General features: G+C 47.3%; 1 protein-coding gene across 11 annotated transcripts in view; it reads left to right on the plus strand.

Annotated features, from left to right (window-relative positions):
• MAMLD1 (mastermind like domain containing 1) overlaps positions 1-20866 on the plus strand; it is a 152602-nt gene that overhangs the window by 87097 nt on the left and 44639 nt on the right. For 8 of the 11 annotated variants that reach the window (XM_047441709.1, XM_024452317.2, NM_001400515.1 and 5 more), the window contains one exon: positions 14104-14178. The exons of the other annotated variants lie outside the window; for them this stretch is intronic. In XM_047441709.1, coding sequence (XP_047297665.1) covers positions 14104-14178 — 75 coding nt within the window. The remainder of the gene's footprint in view (positions 1-14103; positions 14179-20866) is intronic. 11 annotated transcript variants of the gene reach the window in all.

Consider the following 20866-nt stretch of genomic DNA (forward strand, 5'->3'; position numbering starts at 1 on the left):
GTATGGAGTTTTAACAGGAGGCAGAACATTTTGTCCTTCCCTTTGAAGTTAAGATCACGATTCTTTCCCTAGATCCCTAGATCAGTAGGTCAAAGGATTGCTAGTGTGAGAATTTAAAAGGCATTAGTACTCCAATTTGAGAGTGCTCCAGAGCCTGCATGGAGTTGAGACTCAGTGCGCATGTCACATGCCATCTCTGTCTCAGTCCATACCCCACCATAAGTGGCAAAGATTCCTCCAGCTCGGAGCAGGTACCTATTCCCTTCATAAGGCAGCTCCTAGACAAAATGAGGGTGCAAAGGGCATGAAATGTTCAGTTGGAGGAGGAAGGGGACACAGTACTTTTTGCACATCTTCTGTGTTCAGCCATTTAATATTAAGAAGCGACTCACTCTATAGATTACAATGGGATGCCGTGCCCAGTATTTCTTCTGAGCTTCCCAACCAGTCAGTGGTTGGGCAGGGTGGGGGGATTATTATTATTCTCCTTCTTTATGGATAAAGAGAATAAAGTCTGAGAAATTCAGTGACTTTCAGAAGGATGGCCATCCAGAAGGTGGGGTGCTACATCAAGGTCCACATTTGGATGGCCCCAAGGGCAGTGTGCTTTCCATCTACAATACGATGAAAAACAACCCCTCAGCCCATATCTTTCTCACCTCTAAATGCAAGTAGGGCTGAAGACGGGGGAGAGAGGAGCCCTCAGTGTAACAGCGTATGTGGACATTTGGATGGCTGCAAAAATACTGGCCTCATTCTATCCATCCCTTTTCTTTAGACTGGTGACCTTAGACATATCCAGTAGGAGGAGCTCTAGTCACCTCCTCCCTTTGTGTTTATGTGACGGGGTTCAAGATTTGCGCCCATCAGCTTTGGAGGCATATACTTCTTGCAGAAAAAGTGCTGGACTCAGGAAGGAGTCCTCAGACTCGATTCAGGGTTGGAACAAGCTCTTTGTGAGATTTTGAGCAGGTTTCTTTCTTCTTGAGGTCAGAGGGCATGGGTATGAGCTCTAAGGGCCTGTCTATCTCTGGCCTCCTGCCACATTTCCAGGGTCCCTTCTGTGTGCCTGGCCCTGTGCTCGATCTTGAGCCCCAGGAATTCATAGTCTAGGGGCAAATTATTCCCAGGCTTCCTCCACTGGGAACAAATCTATCTTACTCTGTAGTTCTCGGTGAAACCTGGAGGCAAGTGTTTGAGCGTCTCTCTTGTGCAAGGTACTTTGTGCACATTCGCTCATTTGCTTCTGTGTCACAGAGATTGATATTTCCACTTCCCCAGGGTGGAGACTGAGGCTCAGAAAGGATGGAGACTTTCCCAATGTCACACAGGCAGGAAGTTGTAGATCTCAAACTCAGGTGCCCTGCCTCCAAAGCTCTTCCTACTCCTATTCCCAGATTAGGAGCTCAGGTATTTCCAGGGCCTTCTGCAGGCCAGGCACTGTTCTCAGTGCCTTTCATTCCAGTGGCAGAGACAGCCCATAAACAGGTAAAGAGTAGAAGCAAACTTACTTCATTCTGGTAGCTCTCTGGGATGTTCTGACCAGCGTTGTCCACTGCCAAGCCTGGCAGAAAGCTAGGCTGCTTTAAAACCCTATGCAGGGGCAGCCAGCTGGGAACAGAGTGAGTTGTCGAAACAGCTCCCTTAGAAGCCTCAAGAGAAAACCCAGATTTACAGCTTTGAGTCTTTGCCAGCAGCCCCTGCTTCATGCAGGCTGAAGGCGCGGCACAGGTGCAAATCTGGCCCCAAGAGAGGGGAGCTCATGTTTATGGGTCCCCTTCCAAGACCCAGGTGATCCTAGGGGCTAGTTAATCTAGAGGCAACTGTCCCTGCCACTTACTGATAACTTGCATGAGCCTCTGGGCCTCAGTATCCACATCAGTAAAGTAGGGTTAATAACTCTGCTCTTTGCCTGCGTCAGGGTTTCTGGGATGGTGATGAACAAGGTGTGGTTGTGCACGTGTTCCAAACCACACAGGGCATGATCCTAAACCACACACTGCTGTGAGCACTTTTTTTTAATGATCAGAGGTTGGCATTGGCTCAGAGGTTTTTTGCCATCAGAAGAGTGATGGAAAATGTGTGTCCTGACCCCTGAGGATGCCACAGTCTCATCAGCAGCCCCACTACACTGAGGAGACCTGAATCTGTAATGTAGCTGTGAGCATTCTGGGTCAAGGGCTGCAGTGTGTATGCGCCTTTCTACTTTGGGGATCCTCCCCATGGAGCACGCAGCTGTTCGCTCCCTTTGCTCCCTCCTCCTTTTTCTGCAGTAAGGGCTCCTTCCTGTTCCAGACACCCAACTGGGGTGAGAAGCCAGGCAGAGGCCTTGCCTTCACACAGACCTTTTTTTGCAAGAACTGAGCACTGCTCAGCTTGCAGGACACCACTGGGCTTGGCATCTGGGTCCTGCCTGGGTAGCCTGGCTTGGTAAACCAGTGACCTGCAAATCACAGTCTGTTTGAAGGGAGAGTGCTGGTGAGGGGAGCTCCATTTTTCAGCTGGTTTATGCAGGCACCTGGGAGCATGACACTGCCTATTTCTAAACTTTTAGGAGCCCATGCTGGCCTCATCTGCATTCCTGCCTAGCTCTTTCCCACAGTTTCCTTGACATAAGGCCCAAGGTAACAGGTTTCTGGAGGTGGAACTGCCCCAGGAAGGAGAGGGATGCTGTTAGACTCCAGGACAGAGTTGAGGCTCAGAAGTGTGCACATTTCTAGGGAGTATGCAGACCCAGGGGCCAGCCCTGTGGGTGTGGGCCTGGGGTTCCTCAAACTCTGGGCTGGCCTGTGTAGGCTGAGGCCTCTTGCTTTTACTGGGAATCCACAGCTGGAAAGCCCAATGTTTCTCTTTTTACAGATAGATATTTGGGTTATAAGCTACCCCTGGAGTGCTGCATTCCAGACTTCTGGGGAGGAGGGACATGAGCTTCTAAGATTTGGGCAACAAATTTTGATTTCCGCAGTTGATATAGAATAATTTGTTGGAAACCTTCCTCCTCCCCTTTTGCTTTTCCTTTCCCTCCCCTTCCTTCCTGCCTTTCCCTTCTCCTCCTCATCTCCCTCCTACCTTCTCACCAGATCTCCAACCCCTAAATTCCAAAGTTAGAAAGGCAAGCATCAGCCACAGGGAAGTGGATTTGACCACTGGGCACTCAAACCCAAGGCGCAGGCATGTCTCTGCTGTCATTGCCTCCCTCTCTCTTGCTCCGGGCCCCCTCAGCACAGGCCTGTCTTTGTCTGCCTCCCTCCAGTGCTGCAGGCTTCCATCACCCTCTCAAGTCCCCATCCAGAGGCAGGGCTGGCATAGGTGCTCGCTTGCTCACTCACTGCCCTGACCCTGAGAGCTCCTGCTTCTATGCCCCTAGAGCTGTGGCTGAGTATATGGCACATAGTAAATGCTCAGTAAGATGCAGCTGCTGTTCATCTTGGCCAGAAGTCCCTTAGAAATCATCTAGGCCACCCACATTGCTGGACACAAGAGAAGGCCAGTGTCATACAGAGGGGAAGGGGTGCAATTAAAAAGTCATTGTCTCTAGGCCTTACACAGGAAATGGGAAAATAACAGAGTTATTTGCAGAGTACCATTTTCTCCAATGGTTCATTCACATCCGCAGATGCCAGCTGAGCCCTGTCACGAGGCTTTGGGGTTACCAAGATGAATAGGAAACTACCTGGCCTTCAGAGAGTTATGTGGTGGAGGTGGGAAATGCATAGACCTAACATGGCAGCCTCAAGGTTGGCCATAGCACCTAGGATGGTGATGGAAAGGGTAGAAGGTGAGACTGTATTATCATAGAGACCCTTGAGGGCCTGAGGGTGGAGGGTGTGCTTTAATCCACTAGCCCATGCAAATTGTTCAACAATGTACAAGACTATAAGAACAAGGCCCAAGGGTATCCTGGAGGGGATGATGTTTCTCTCCTCTCTTTTTTTTTTCTTTTATTATTATACTTTAAGTTTTAGGGTACATGTGCACATTGTGCAGGTTAGTTACATATGTATACATGTGCCACACTGGTGCGCTGCACCCACTAACTTGTCATCTAGCATTAGGTATATCTCCCAATGCTATCCCTCCCCCCTCCCCCCACCCCACAACAGTCCCCAGAATGTGATGTTCCCCTTCCCGTGTCCATGTGATCTCATTGTTCAATTCCCACCTATGAGTGAGAATATGCGGTGTTTGGTTTTTTGTTCTTGCGATAGTTTACTGAGAATGATGATTTCCAATTTCATCCATGTCCCTACAAAGGACTGGAAGCTTCGGAGCACCTGAGAACGGGCGCACAATGAGAAGTGAAACAACTTTTGGGACTGCTGGATCACTTGCACGGTTTAGAAATGGTCACCTTACTTGCACTACGGAAGAAATCTTTACGTTTTTCTGCTCCAGAAAGGTTGCCCACCCACTCTTCTGTGAATAATGGGCCTACATGGCCCCCTGCAATGTGAGGAGGGCAACTTGGAAAGAACTTATTTCCCTCCAAGAAGATGCTCAGTTCATGCTCTAGGTCAGAGGTTGGCAAACTACAGCCTGTGAGCTAAATCCAGCCCACGGGCTGTTTTTGTAAATAAACTTTTATTAGCACACAGTCACGCCCAGTCATTAACATATTGTCTACTACACAGAGCTTCAACAGAGACCACATGGCCTGCGAAGCCTGAGACATTTACTACCTGGGCCATCACAGAAGAAGTTTGCCAACACTTGGTCTGTATCACTGGGCATTTGGTTCATTTGTTTACCCTAACAAATGGTACCCATTTCAGGTAGAATTACAGGCCCTCATGCGGCCACGTGTTTAGCTTCCCCTCCTGTGCCAAAGCTGGCCCCAACTCCACACTCCCAATTCCACCCTTCTCAAAAGTTCTTGCCCCTAAAAGTGTTTCTTTTCCTTCCATTTCTCCTCCCATCAGCATCCAGAGAGAACTTTTTCAAAGAGATGAAGCCAATCCTTCCTCTGCTTAAGTCCCCCGATGGCTTCCCTACAAACAAAATACAATCCAATCCCTTTCCCATAGCCTGCAAGACCCTCTGCAAATTCACGACTACTTCCCTGGTGCATTGTGTGACAGGCACACTGGCTGCCTGCCCGTCACTGGAACAGTCCAAAAGCCCCACCCCAGGGCCTTCCCACTTGCTGCCCTCCTGCCTGGGATGCTCTGCCCCCAGTCCTTCTCCTGGCCTGCTCAGAGCCACCTGCCATTCTATCACATCACTATTTTTTCAGTCTTTGAAAGAATACTGCACACACTCTTAACTTGTTCTTGTTGTTCACTTACCGTTTGTCCTACTAGAATTCCAGCTCCTTCTCTCTGGTTCCCCACTTCTCTCCCTGGCCTGTGCTCATTCTAATGGAAGTGTCAGTTCTGGGCCCCCTAGGCAGCCCTGCCTGCCCTTTACTGTCATATGACTTCATCTCTATAGTGGAGGGGAGCCCAGTGCCACTCTGTAGGTGCTTCTTTCCTAGAATAAGCTTCAGGCCCTAAAGTTGTCTAGCCTTAGGGCTGCCCATGTGATGCTGTCAGCAAAACTAAACATGTTCTTGCCTCTTTTCCTCCCTCAAGTCAAGCCCTTAGAGTTTAGAACAATGAACTTGGCCTATATAAAATACCTCCAGGAAATCAGTCCTCAAACACCAACTCCCAACATCTGCTTTCTGAATATATGGCTTCAAACAGCTAAGTGTACAGTATCTAACTGCTGTCCATCCTTTTGTTTTTTTTAGCCACATGACATCTAAGGAACTTAGAAAATGCCTTGCCCTTTCCTGTAGTTAAATTTGACATAAAATTACTTTATTGGCAGCATATTAACAAACAAAAATCTCCTGTGTTTTTCCCGGTAATTCAGTTTCAGTTTTCCAGGTAAGAAAAAGATAATTTTGAATGACTACAAGGAGACAGACTGTTTTGAGGTTTCTGTTAATAACACATTCAGAGTGTGCCTTCTTCCTCTGTCCCAGTCAGTGGTGCTGTTGACAGAGTGGTACAACAAGAATGAAATATACTGTGGGAACTCACCCTGATCCCAACACCCTCATCAACACCATCACCACCATCACTATTGCTACCAGCACCACCACCTCCACCACCACTACCCTCACCTTCACTACCACCACCCTTTAAATCAACACCATTACCACCATCACCATGGCTACCACCATCCCACCATCCCAATTGCCACCACCACATCCACCACCATTACCACCACCACCATCATCACTACCACCCTTACCTCCGTCATTACCACCTCCATCACCTCTACCATTACCATGATTACTATCGCCATCCCCTCTACCACCACCACCCTACCACTTCTCTCTCTATCTCTCTCTCATGTACACGTACATGGTTATATGACACTTCATGATGCAATCATAGACACTGTCCACATACACACATACAGTGAAATAAGTACATGTTTTTAAATTGTCATTATTTTCAATATAGAACCTACTCTTGTTGCTATGTGCTTTGGGGTGGGGAACATCAACGTGTGTTTATGGCCAAAATTGAATTAGGATTCATAAGAAAGGGCTATATCTCCAAATGCGCACTTTTAAAAAAGTTAAGTTTGGATGAGGGATCTTTCATTTCATAAAAGGATATACTGAGGATTTCCTTTCAGTGACAAATTTTTGCTGCATTTTATTTTGATTTGGTTTACAAAAGTTAGCCTTTCACACAGCTGTTCAGGAGCGCAGCCAATGACTAAAGGCAGATCTGCCTTGAATAGCAAATGCTGCTGAGTAAACCATGTTACAGGCTATTTTAGGACCACCAAGAATGTGTTTGCATTTTCAAGAGTAGAAGGAGAGATCATATTTATTTGGTATCTACACTATGCCACACACTATGCTAATTACATTTCTAAGCTCATGTAATCCTTACAACAAATTTACGAAGGCTTTACTTTCCCCATTTTGTAGGTAAGAAAACAGGCTCACAGAGGGAAAAATGACTTGCCCAAGGTGACCACCAATTAGAGACAAGGTTTAAACAGACCATGAGGGCTCAGGGCCTACCTCAAGCCCTCTAATCACCCTACACTGCTAAGTTCTTCTATTAGAATTTGTTGTGCAGAAGGTTTTCTTCTTCTTCTTCTTCTTTTTTTTTTTTTTGTATAATCAGATTATCCATTTGCCTACAAAGCCTATAGTGTGCAAGGAGTGTGTAGTGGTCCAGTCAGTGTACCCTGGCACTTGAGAGCTCATTAAGGGCCCAGGAGAATCAGCAAATTCTCAGCAGCCAAGCTACCCTAACGTATATCATAGAAACTACAATAGGAGATTTCTTCTCTGAGGTCACTGCTATCTGGCACTATCCTGTGATGTATGGTTTGGAAAACCGTGGGTCAAATACAACCGTCCCTACAGGCAAGTCAAAATATCGTGGCTGAAACTAAAAGTGATTTTTTATCCTCAGTCTAAGTGTGAAGAGCTGAAGTGATCTGCCTTTCCTTTAGCACCCCAGAATTACCTCTGGGTTCATTCGGGGAAGGCTGGCTTACTGCTGAGGTGTCCACACATCTACCACTATACATGCCTGGGGTTCTTGGGGGTTCTGTTACCTGGGCTGAACTCTGGAGTCCTGAGTGCCAAGCTCTTCTCTGCCACTATCTATATGACTTTTAGTAAGCCACCTGCAACTCCTTCACCTCAGTTTACCCATGTGTAAATCAGGGACCCCAAGCAAAGCCCTGCCTACCTCCTAGGATTCTTGTTAGAATCAAAGGCTGATGAATGAGAAAGTACACTGTCCACTGAAAGGGCCTGGGATTTTATAAAGGCCTGTAGTTGGTAACACCAAGACTTGGATCTGAAGGTCTAGAAAAGCACAACATCCTGAGACTCTGTGTGGATCCCTTTAGCCTACTGTGAGTGCTTATGTCATGTCATGAACATGATATACCCCCCATACAGCCCTAAAAAGTCTTTGCTACTAGAAGCCGCATCCTGTATGTGTATAAAAATACAGAACCAACCTCCCAGGTACACACCCGTTGCACAGGCAGTCTCTGCTGAGTCATTGTGCAGACACGTCTCTTGCTGCTTCTGGCCATGTTGTTCCCAGAAATGGCTCTAGAGGGATTTCCCGCATGGCTGAATAGATGGGGAGCATACGAGGAGCTCACCTTTTCAGGGTTCCAGATATACAGCTGGGCCGGAGGGGCTGGGAGGCAGAAGAGTGGGTGCAGCAGAGTAGGCTTGTGGAAGACAAAGCCTTCAGAAAAGTTTCTTGCCCGAGGCAAATGCAGTCCATGCTAGATGGTACATTCCCAGCCAGGAAGAGAGTGCAATGTCCTCTCCAACTCAAATGGCAGTGACCAGTGGGTCTCCCCAAACTCTGCCATAGGACATTAGGGCTTTACCAAGCACTGTCCAGGTTGCAGTTTTAGATGGGAAAGGGCACTTGGCCTTGAGAAGGTACAGAAGCCAACTCCCTGGTCACCGCATTTGTTCATGCTTTTTCCCTTGGCCCTCAGCCTCTGGATGCCATCATTTGGCCTGGAGATAGGAAAAGTGTTGCCTACATCTGCCTCTGGTACTAGCAAAGGGCATGGTACAGTGTGGTGCAGACCAGCAGCAGGAACAGAAAGGTGCTTCTCTAAGGAAGCTGCAGAGATTTCTCTGCCAGTCTGGAGATCAGCTTTGGGTCCCAGCTCTCCCTGCTACTCTTCCATATACCTCCAATGATGCAAGTTTCCAAGAAGACCAAGGCTGTGAAAAACAGTGTGGTGGTTCCTCAAGAAGTTAGTTCAACATAAAATTACACCATGACCTAGCAATTCCACTCCTTGGTATACACCCAAAAGAACCGAAAACAAGTGTTCAACAAAAACTTGTATGCAAATGTTCACAGCAACACTATTCACAATAGCCAAAAGACAGAAACAACCCAAATGTCCATCAGATGAATGGACTGACCAAGTGTGGCACGTCCACACAATGGAATATTATTTGGCCACAAAAGGAACGGAGTACTGAGGCATGCCACAACATGGATGAGCCCAGAAAACATGATGCCGGGTGAAAGAAGCCAGGCACAAAACGCCACATATTGTATGATCCCATTTATATGAAGTATTCAGAATAAGCAAATTCATAGAGACAGAGGGTAGATAAATGTGTTGCCAGGAGCTGGGGGTTTCCATTTGGGATGATGAAAAAGTTCTGGAACTAGATAGTGGTGATAGTTGCACAACATTGTGAATGTCCTAAATGCTACCGAATTGTACACTTTTAAAAAGTTAATTTCATGCTATGTCTATTTTACCTCAATTTAAAAAGAGAGGACCTAGACCATGGGAAGAGTCTTTGGACTGACTCCTTATCCCATGTTCCCTCCAAGTTTCAGCTGCTCTGATGCCAAGACTCTCATGGCATCAGAGCTCACCAGCCTGGCTCTAAATCTACTAAGTGGGGTCGATATCTCTGCAGGCTAAAAGTTGGCACTCAGGAGCTAAAATGTGCTTATTCAATAAGCATGTGACCCCTCTGCTAAGCTACATAGGCATGTTCTGGACATAAATTGTTTTAAATGTGGCCATTGATAGCAGCATCTCTCTTTGGTGTGTCCTAGCAGGAAGAGGTCATAGACAGGATGCCCCTCTAGAAGGTTCTGAACTAATCAGGTGTCTCTGGAATCTTCTCCCACCTACATAGCAGTTGAATTTCTCAAGCAGGGAAATATTCTGCATGGTCTGAAGCTTGTTGCCATTTTATTTAGCCTACTGTTGGGGCACAGAGAGAGGTAAGGTCACCTCTGGCCTAAGCTTCAAAGTTCATCCCTCAAGCCTTCTAAGACCCGGTACCTAATTTTGTTTTAATTTTATATTCTGTTTCATAAAGAGGGCCCCAGATTATAAAAGCTTCAGTCCCAAAACTAGAGACCCAAACACCTCACTATAGGAAAGAAGGCTCTGATTAACCAGCAGCTGTTTTTTTTCTTTCTCTTTATTCTTTCCAGCTCTATTGAGGTATAAGTGACAAATTAAAAATGTATATTTAAGGTATACAGTGTGATGATTTGATATACATATATATTGTGAAATGATTACCACAATCAAGTTAGTCAATGCATCCATCCATAACTTCATCTAGTTATATTTGTTTCTGAACTCATAGAACTGTTTTAAAATCATAGAAACAGTAGAAGGCTGGTTACCAAGAGTTGCAGGGGGTGGGGTGTGAAATGGGGAGATGTCAGTCAATGGGTACAAATTCTCAGTTATAGGATGCATAAATTTGGGCAATCTAATGTACAGCACTGTGGCTATATTTAATAATGCTGTATTGCATATTTGAAATTTACTGTGAGAGCAGATCTTAAATGTTCTTATAGCAACTATTTTTCTATTTGCCCCATTTAAACTACTCTAGTTGGTGTCCTGGCAATGAGGAGGACTGTCACCTTGTTTCCTGACCTTGCCACTGCAATCCAAATGGGGTCTGTTTTTATCATGCCAGGAAAGGAGGGGGAGGCTGCGTGGGTTCAGCAGGGGTGTCTCCTGACTGCGCCTTCCAGGCAGTCTGTCACTGTGTGTTCCCCCAGGAGGCCCTGGACCAAAGGCCTTTTCATCTCAGTACCCCAATTTCTAACCTCATAAGGTTACACTGAAGATGAAAGGAATTGATGTAGTTAACAGGGCTGAAGCAGAGGCTTGGTAACTAGTTGCTCTTGTTATTTCCTCTGCTTGTAGAGGAAGTTGGTATAGTCTCTCTCTCTCTCTCTCTTTCTCTAGCTCTGGCTCTCCTTCAACCATTGCCCTATCATCTGAATGGCACCTTGGCCCATTTCCTCCAAGCCCCACTTCTGCTTGAGGACAGGGCTCTGGAGGCTGACAAACCCAAGTTCACTCCCTGGTTCCACCACTTTTTAGCCAGCCAAATGCCCTTAAGCAAGTGACACTCCCTGTCTTCAACTGGGCACCCTCATCTGTACAATGAGGGTGGGGGTGATCACATTAGTACTGACTTTCTTGAGTCACTGGGAACATTAAGGTAAAGCCTAAAATGCATTTGGAACTGTACCTGTCACTTAGTAAGTATTCCAAAGTCACTCTTGAAGTCTACTTATAAATCAGGTCTCCCTTACTAAAACAAAAGGAAATGGAGAAAGAGAAGAAAGGAGAAAGATGGGAATAAGAAAGGAAGAGAGGGAGGGATGGAGGGAGGGAGGGAGGGAGGAAGGAAGGAAGACAGGCAGGCAAGACTCTTTAATCTTTGCTCCTTGTTCTCTCTAGCCACTCACACTCAAGTTCCAGCCCCCACCAATTTGGAGATGATTCCCTGATAAACCTCTAAACTGCAGGCATCTCTGTTCTTCATTTCTAAGATGAGGATGATAATGGGAATATCTTTCTCATAGAGTTGTGAAGATAACTATGTGAATGCATACAAAGTGCTTAGTACCACAATAGTCATTTGTGTCTTGTGATTCCAGGAGTTTTGGGCAGAGGATTGTGTGCCCTGGTCAGGGTGCCCACAGGCAAGGTTGCCACTGATCTGATGGGGCCAATCCAACAGGCATGGAGCCCAGAAACAGGCTTCCATGTCCAATCCCATGTCCTGCTCTTGGGAAGGCTTTCCCACTCCGAACCACAAAACCACTGGGTTTATCTGGGCCACTCTGATGAAAGTCACATTCCCCTGAACAAAGATCCTCACCACAAGGGCACCTGGGTCATCCTGCTCTGTGAAGCACTGAAAGAGTGAGGCAGAAAATGGAGTGACTACTTCCAGAAATGGAATCACCTCAAGTCATATCAATTCTCTTGGGAAGAGCCCCTTGGGTTTGTATAGTTCTTTAAAGTCTGAGGGACAGTGGAGAGGCAGGTCCCAAGGAGTGCTAATGCAGAAGTAACATACTATGGCAGCCTGGCATGGGTCAGATCATAAGGGGGGCCAGCCAGGGCGTGGAGGCAGGACTGGCAGGGCCTGGCAGTAAGAAGAGATATTGCTACTGCATTCACACAGTCCCAATCAGAAGTCTTAGAGATTATCTGTAGAGAGAGCTGTGGCTACCCCATATAGTACGTGACTTCCACACAGCCCAAACTACCCTAATTAATAATGACCCAGAAGCTGATTGTTTCTAGCTCTCAGATTAGCAGTGGCTCCTTATTGCCCCAGCTTAGCTCTACCAGATGTCCTGTCCCTGAAATGTACCAGTAGCCCCTCTAAAAACCCACTTGGCTCATCAGGGCCCAGTCCAGGGCCCTCCCCACCTATCCCATTCCTAATCCCATCAGCATTAGCGAGAAGCCTGCCACTGCCTCAGGGACCTCGCATCTGGAGACTCAGCCAAGATGGTGGCACCTGTGAGAGGATCCACAGGTAGCCAAGTCCAGGTAGCCAGAGGCCAGGTGGCAATGGGGAAGAGCATAAGTGACCCCTGTCCAATATGCCCTCATCAGCCAAATCTGGGGCCTCAGTTTGGGCTTTGTGGTGTGAAGGTACCACCCGCCAAATGGGCCTGGAGCCACCAGCATAGCTGCCCTCCTTCTCCCTGGGTGGCCCTGGAGGTGCCACACTTGCAGCATTCCTGGGTGGTCCTTCTGTGCATGGGCTGTAGGTGGAGGTGTGGAAAGCTGAAGACAGGGTCAGGCACAGCCCAGGGCAGCCTAGAGATATTTACATCATGATGATGGGATTAGACAGCCCACTCGCTTGTGCGGTATCTGGACGCCACTGGCTTGCAGAGCATTTGGGGGTTACTGCTTGAGAGTGTTTTCCACTGGTCTTGTCACTCCCTAGGTGAAGGAAAGTCTGGCTTTTGTAGGAACTGCCTGGGTCTCTGGTGGAGTATTTCCTTCCTCACCTCTGGATTATTCTGCCTCTTTAGAGCATTCTAGAAAAGGGGTGTTTTCTCGGTTCATTGGCCACACGGCATGGCTGCATCCTGGTGACATTTTCCCAGCATCAGATGGTTGGAGACTGCAATGAGGAGGCTCCACACAATTCATAGCCTTCAGCCAGGCCCCTTGCTGAAGTGCTGCATGGGACGGAGAAGACCAAACCAATTGGAGAGGGACTCGATGGAAGCCACACATGGAGTTTTGTGTTGTTGTCCAGTACTTACTGTGGTTGCCCTGCTCCCATTGACCTGGACGATCCATGTTACCATCTGCCCCTCCTCCCAAAAAAGGGAAGCTTCCTGTTCTTGGAGTTGGCACTAGGAGCCACCCTCAGTGGCTTAAACAGATTTCTTTTAACTATGAGGTAGTGCACTAGATGAACCAGACTACAGGAGATGCCAGCTCTGTAGCCATCATTTCACAATGCAGCCATACCTAAGAGCCTAGGACAGGCCATACCCGGTGGGCGGAGCAGGGATGGGCCACAGCTGGAGGACTGAAAGTGGGATCTCAGCCTCAGTTACAGAGGCACTCCCTGATGGCCAGGCAGCAATCCTGTGGAGGGCTTTGTCATCAGAAAATAGGAGCCCATCATCTCTGGAAGGTTGGAAGCACCATGGTGAGATGGGATGTGTGTCCAAGAGTTAAACTGGTCTGGAGTTCTCTTTTAACACCATCATCACACCCCTTCATTTAATCTATGCTGGACTTTGACCATAAAAAACCAAACTTGAAATTGGGATCCCTGCACCGACTGGTGAGGCACATAGGAGAGGGTTGGTTTGGGTTCCATATGACTGACATAAAGCAGAGCAAATATTGGCTTGGGACCCAAACCAACCCTCTCTTAGGCTTGTTAAGGCCCCATTCAGGATAGTTCCCTGGAGGTGGTTGGAGAGCTGGCAGCCTTTCTGGTGACTGGTGACCTGGTAGTACTCTCTAATAGAATATGTCAATAAGCACAGCTCATTTGACCAGAATTGTAGGCCGCCTTTCTCGATCCAACAGGTGCAGACCTGCTACTCTCAGGATTCACTTTGCTAGTCTCCCGCACTCCACACCGGATCCCACAGTCTATGTTCAAGTAATCCCCTATTTAAATGTCATAGATATATTTGGGGAGGCTCATAATTTGATTCAAGTAACAGTCTGATCTGTGCCTCTCACTGAGCTGGTGCAGGTAATACTTTCTTTAAGAGTGTGTGCAAGTGGCTCTCCTCAGCCTACTCTCACCCCCAGGGAAAGAAGCCCTCGTGGATGGAGGAAGAAGATTTATCTTTTCTCTACAAGAGCAGCCCAGGAAGAAAGCATCAGGTAAGCATAAGCTTACCAAAGCTGGGACCCATTCACTTTACAGTGGGGAAACTGAGGCCCCGAGTGTGAAAGGGACCTACAAGAGGTCACACCACAAGGTCCTTTAAGAGAGGCAGAGCCCAGGGAGAAGTGAGAAGGTTGGGCTTAAATGATCTCTGCCCGGTGGCCCTGGTGGCCTCCAACCTCGGTTCTGCCTCCACTTCTCCCTTTGCCTGTGTGATTTTGGGCTTGTTAGCCAAATTTAGGTGAAATGTAGATTAAGCTTGTGAACCTGGGTCCAGCAGAAGTGGAGTCATCTGGATTGGGACAGGGCCCTCTCCTTTGACCTTTAGCTTCTATTACAGCTACCTCAGGCAGCACCTACTTCCTCTATAGATCAACCTCACCAAATCCATCCAGATGTTTCTCTTCTCCCCACAGTAATCATCTCTATCCCACTAATGACAGAACCTGGGAATGTGTTTGGGGAAGACTGGGTGAGGATTTCTTCCTGTGAAAACAGAGTACAGGCCTCACCAGGCTTAACATGAGTGGGTGTGAGCAGCCCGTCTTGAAGGGCCCAGCAGTTCTGACGGTCTAGGAGTTAGAGGCTAGCTCTCAACAAATGCTTGTTCAATGGCAGAATACCTTGATTCTTCTCAGGAGATGGTACAATACAAATTCTGAGCTCATTAAATTCATATACATCTATAGGTTGAGGATCATCCTTAGAGCTGTCAGTTCTTCCAACTGGCATGTCTACACTACAGAAAAGGAGAAAGTAGTTCTAGAACACTGCCCACCCAGGTTTGCTCATCTCTGCCTTTGTCAGTGCACTTCCAGCCACTCCAGGCTGCTGCTCAGATAGTTCTGGCAGAAGCCTGTTGAAGCCCCAGCCCTCAGGTCAGGGTGGCTAAAGGCTGATGACTGTGGCAGCCTTCAGAGTGGCAGGTGGTGGCAAGCAGCAGGAGGCAGGAGTTTCCAGGCTCAGCCACCAAGACAGCATCCCTGGCTGTCAGGTCAGTGCTGTCAGGTCAGTGCTGTCAGGACTAAGCTGCTTGCCTCCCCCTACTTCCACTCCATCCCCCTATCCTAGTGAATGCATCCTTATTTGTAAGAAAGCAACAGAGGCCCAACACGAAGACACAGGGCCTTGAGAATGATATCAGTAGTGATTACTGCTCCCCAAGTGCTCTCCTCAGTGAGTACAATGGAACCTTTCACTAATGCTGTGAAGCACACATGGTGGGCCAAGTACCCATTTTACAGAAGAAGAAATTGAGCTTCAGGGAGGGGAGTGGCTTGCCCACAGCCACACAACAAACGGAGGAGCTAGGACTTAACTGCAGGTCTTCTCATGTGCATTCCAGGGCCCCTTCCTCCACCGCAGCCTGCATCTGCCTGCATCGAGTGCTGGTTCAGGGCGAATCAGGGACACCAATAAATCCCCGATTTGTAGGTCGAGGTTCTTGCTCCAAACCACCCATTATCAGAGATTTGCTCCTGAGACATAACTGACTCCTCTTGAAGCCAATCAGCATTAGCATTCAGGGTTCCCTGCCATTCCCAACCACCCTGGTATTCTCCAGAGCCTCATGTCTTGCAATTCTGGAAATGCTCAAAATCCTGTTTGTTCTACAGAAAGATCAGTTTCAGTTTGCTGGGACATTCTGCTGAAAATAAACATGTAAATAACACATCCCCAAATACAGGCATTGATACTATACACACGGATATTCCTTTGATCCCATGTGCAAATGCAAACATATTCATTCTGTCTTTCTCTCCTCCTCGCTCTCACTCTCTCTCTTTCTCTCCATCCCCCATCTCTTTGTCTCTTCAAACCCATTCCTGATACATTATTTTCTTATCTATTCTACAGCTACCTCCATCATGCCCCACGACATCTTCATTACTTTCTTCTGAGATAGTCTACTGGGGGCCATCCTTGTCCTCAGAGGGCTTGAAGTCTAATTTAGTTGGCCAACATCAGGTGCCTCAAAATTCATAGGGGGAAAATGTAACAATATTGAATAAAGTTGTTCATGGAGTATGGATGTAAGGGAAGAGACTAGGAGAACTGGCTAGCAAATTGGCCTGAACTGAACTGGTGAGGCACTAGTGAAGAAAGAGCAGACTAAATAAACCACAGGCGATTTTCACCTTTTTGACAATTTTGCCCAGGGCCTACAAGCCCAGTGCCCTCTGGAGGGAAAATAAGTCTCCCTGAGTTTATCTTTCCTGGTTACCTTTGACCTCCTATCTTCTTGCCCAATAGGAACAGTGCATACCCTTTGCTGACCTTTTTATTGGTGTCCATGTTAAACCTCCAACTACAGTGTCCAAAATCAAGCATTTATAACAGCCTGCCAGACTTCTTTGGATAAGTTATATTCTTTACTCTCCTTATGCTCATTTCATGGACTGTATTCGTATAATCTCTACCTTCTCTAAGAAATTTTTCCCCTTTTTTGTCATTCTGGACTAGAACTATAGAAAGGGAAGAGTTGCCATATGTCATTGTTCAGACAGAACCAGAAATAATGTTGACTTCAGAGCTGAACTTGTCTCTATCAGAAGAGAAACCTTTGTTTTCTCATTATCTAGGGGGTGGGGAGGCCATCACATGCCTTGAAATGCATTTTAATGAATGTTTATAAGGTCATGGGGATCACATTGGTGGCTTTGTCTGCCGGATTCTGAAATGGGACTCTGCAGGCATTTATGTATGGAGAGAAAGGAATTCGTTTCTAAAAGATGCCAGGGCACTGTCACTCACTCCCTCCCCCTTCCTCACCACCAAAGGCCGGGCCTGTGAGGGCTCTGGCTGGGAGTTGGGACGTCTGGGGTCCAGTGTCCTTTTAACTAATTGTCTGAAAGCAAATCGAGATATGCTCTGAGGAAATCCTGCCAGTGGCTACTGATTGTCACAGGGAGAGGCCTGAAAGAAGTAGGAGCTGTGGGACAGCTAGGACTAATACCCTGCTGTCATCAAGACCGCAGAGACTGGAGAAAAGCACATGGGTGAAGCAGGGAGATTCATTTAGAAAGGGCTGGGAGCTTGGTTGGGGACCTTCCGCCCCTACCAGGATTCTGGGAGGGGAGGTCATTCCGGAGCAGTGAGCTATCTCCTGCCCTTGATCTAAAATGGTGGCTGTGGGATTTAGTCAGAAACACCCAGTCTGGGCAGGCAAAACCTCAGCGGCATCAGCCACAGGCACAGGTGACCCAGTGAAGGCACGAGTGTGGCACTGGGCACAGGGGAAAGCCCAGCCAACTTCTCGCAGTTGAGATGAGTAACAGATCATGGGACTGTGAAAGAGAAGACACGAAAGCAAGTCTTTATCTAGGGGCAAAATTAACTGGATAATAGATTTCCACGCCTCACTGATGTCTGGTGAAGGCAGACGCTATTACAGCAAGGCTGAGCCTTCCGTGTAAACACAGCCGCCTCTCCTCGGCCTTGTTTAGGGTTGGCTGGTGTTCTTGCTGTTCAGCCAGGGCACTTCAGGCTCACTGTTGAAAGCTCATTCCATGAAATCCAAAACATGGAGCTGCATGGCCTCTGACAAAGTGAGTTCTCACTGAAGTCCATTGAAAAATGAAAGCTCAGAAGAGGCTTGCAGCTTGCCACTCTGCCAAAACAGCAGCCTCTATCGGCACCCCAAACCCCACCCCTGAGAAAAGCCAGGTGAGCCTGCCCCCTTTATTAGGCATCCTTATGAAAGTCAGTGAGTGTACATGCCAGCAGCTGTCCAGCCACAGACTTGGCATAGCAAAAGTGGCATCCGCTCCAGCAGTGGCGGCCTGCTGGGATCTACTTTGTTATTGAGTAGTCAGTTGGTTTCTAGAATTGGAATTGATCAGGGACCATTTGCTTGGGATGCAGTTGATGAGTGCTGGAAAAGGTGTGTGTATACGGGCTCTCATGTAGGAGAGGTGCAGCCTCCTTCCCTTTGCCAGTGGCCCCAGCTGGTACCTTTAGTGTCTGGTGGTCATGCCCTGCCTCCTCCATCCCTGCACCTTACTCCCAGCAGGTTAGTGGCAGACCAACAATTAAGTGAAAGCTCTGGGAGCCCATAGAAGCTGCCAGCAAATTTCAGAGGCTCACGTGGCAGGGATGCCAGACCATTGCCCCTCACAGCCCCTTCCCTCCCTTCCTTTCCCCAACCCCCACCCCCTCCTTGGCCTGCCTGGTTCTGCATTGCTTCGCCATTGTTAAAACTGTCTTGCAGTTCGAGACATCATGGACAGCACTTTGGGCCTGACTGTTGCCAGCTCAGACTCCCTGCAGGGGATCCTTATGTCAAATCCACATGCAATCATCCCTGATTGATCTATTTCATACATTTCTATTTTTAACCTATTGGATTCTTTGGGAGAATGTAGAAGAGACACAATTTCAGTTTGGGACCCAGTGGCTTGTTTGTAGGTTACTCCATAATGGATTGAGTAAATGGCTGAGCTCCCTGTGTGTTGGGTAATTTATGTTCCTTTGTCCATTGATTCGTTCAACTGCCATTTACTGAGCACCTGCTGTGGGCCAAACAGTTAGTGAGCTGCTCCATGGACCAGCTCAGGGACACTATGGGTGCTGTGCCCAGTCAGACTCCTGGGAAAGTGGGCACTGATGACTGCATGGGCCTCAGCCCTCTTATTGTGCCTGCTCTACACCTCTCCAACCCATTCCTGCCTGACCCATGGTATTCAGGCCTCAGATGAGTTTGGTGACAGAGCTGTCCCTTGAAGTGCCCTTGTTCAGATTGTGGGCATCTCAAAAGAAAAGTCAAAGAAGTGTGCAAGTCCTCTCACTCAAGTTGGCAAGCCCCTTCTGTGGGGGCGATGCAGTGTCCTACCAACAACATGGCGAAGGCAGTGGGTCTGGAGGCAGCTGAGTGGTGGTGGAGGGGCCCTGCATCTGACCTGGGCCTTGTTGCCCTCTGGCTGAGCAACTCTGGGTAAGGCCTGCCCCTCTCTGGGTCTCAGAGACCTCTCTGTCTTTAAGAAGGGTATTGGACTCCCAGAACCCTTCCATACCTGCCCTTTATAATGCCGGGTACCAGTTAGTGAGGAGCTATTAGGTGTCATACAATGTGCCCCGTTTCACTTAATAGTCAGAGCACCTTCATGAGAAAAGAACTATAATTACACTCATTTTACACATAAAGAAACTGGGGCTCTGAGAGGTTCAGTGGCAAGGCCAAGGTCAGAGCCCTATGCCACGCTGCCTCCACCCTTGCTCTGGGCCAGTGGTTTTCTGTTGAGAATCAGCCATGGAGCTGTTGGAAAAACTCCCGATGCCTGGGCCACACCCTGGATGAAGCTGTCAGTTTGTGGTGGGAGGGCCCAGGAATGTGGATGTTTCTAAGTGATTCTGATGTGCACCAAGGCCTGAGACATACAGCCCTGGGGATCTGCTTTGATGTTCACTTGGCCATGACAGTCATGCCCCTCATCGTGCTGGCAAGTGGCCCCATGCATGCCTTGAGCTCCTAGTGGGCTACAAGCTCATCAAACCAGAAGAGCCAAACTTAAGGTGACATCAGAGGATGAGCACTGTATGTCCTAGTGAAACTTCCAAAGCTGGAAAGGGGTTATTTGGGGGGTACCGGGTGGGGGAAGCTTTAAAAGAATTCTACCTGTTCACCTATCGGCATTCAGGTGATTTCCAGATCCCTCTCTTCCTTTCCTTATTTTGATCATTCCTGCACATACTCCTTTGCCCCCACTTCCTTTCCCATTTACCTGCTAACATACAGGTCATGGTCATTAACACAACAGCGATGGATGACTGTATGAAGCCATGAAGAGTAGGAAGTCTCACATTGCTAGTGACTTTGCTTTGTTCCCAAAGGCTGTGCTTCTATAAATGATGGGCAGCTCCCCCAAGGTTCAGATCCCAGATTGGGGCCTTTTCTCATTGTTTAATATCTCCCCAACCTGAGGATGCATCTTCAGAGGAAAATTTCTTATTTAGATAACTTTATACTTTTTTAAATTTTTGGATTATGAGTCGTTCTCGTTAAAGACAAACAAGCAGAAATGAAGAGAATAGAAAGGGAATTGCCAGTCATCCCAAATAAATGACCACTCCAAATTGTTGGGTATAGGTTCTTCCAAATTATTTTTGTGTACACATAGCAATGTGTGAGAGTGTGTGTGTGTGTGTGTGTGTGTGTGTAAAAATAAATGGAACAATGAATACGATGCCTACAATGACTGTTCTGAAACTTGTGCTTTCCCAAAAACAGTATTTTAAACAGCTCCCCAAGAAAACACATCCAGATCTACTTCTTTCCTGTAAGGGCTCTGTTGTATTCAATTTTACCACTGCAGCCTGATGCATTTAACCAAGACTAGAAGGCAGCCTAAAAGTTCAATTCTATACTATGGTATTCCTTCGTTAAAATCTATGTGTCTGTAGACAGGAAAGAATTAAAACTATTTAGCTACTTCTAGTTTTCTCTCCAATGCCTGCCTTTGGCAGCATGGTTCATTTAGTGACTTCTGCATAGTTTTGTTGAACTCTCCTTGAAGTGGGCAGATTACCCTTTGCATAACGTTCTATCCCGTTTTAGTATACAGACAACATAATGCCTTATTTGAAATGTAATTAGACAGTTTAGATGAAACATAATAATGAATAAATAAGCACTATGGTTCCAAAGACAGGCTGTATTTTATAGTTTTCACAACTATAAGTCTTTAA

Source organism: Homo sapiens, chromosome X (genome assembly GCF_000001405.40).
Source record: "Homo sapiens chromosome X, GRCh38.p14 Primary Assembly".
NCBI classification, from domain to species: Eukaryota; Metazoa; Chordata; class Mammalia; order Primates; family Hominidae; genus Homo; species Homo sapiens.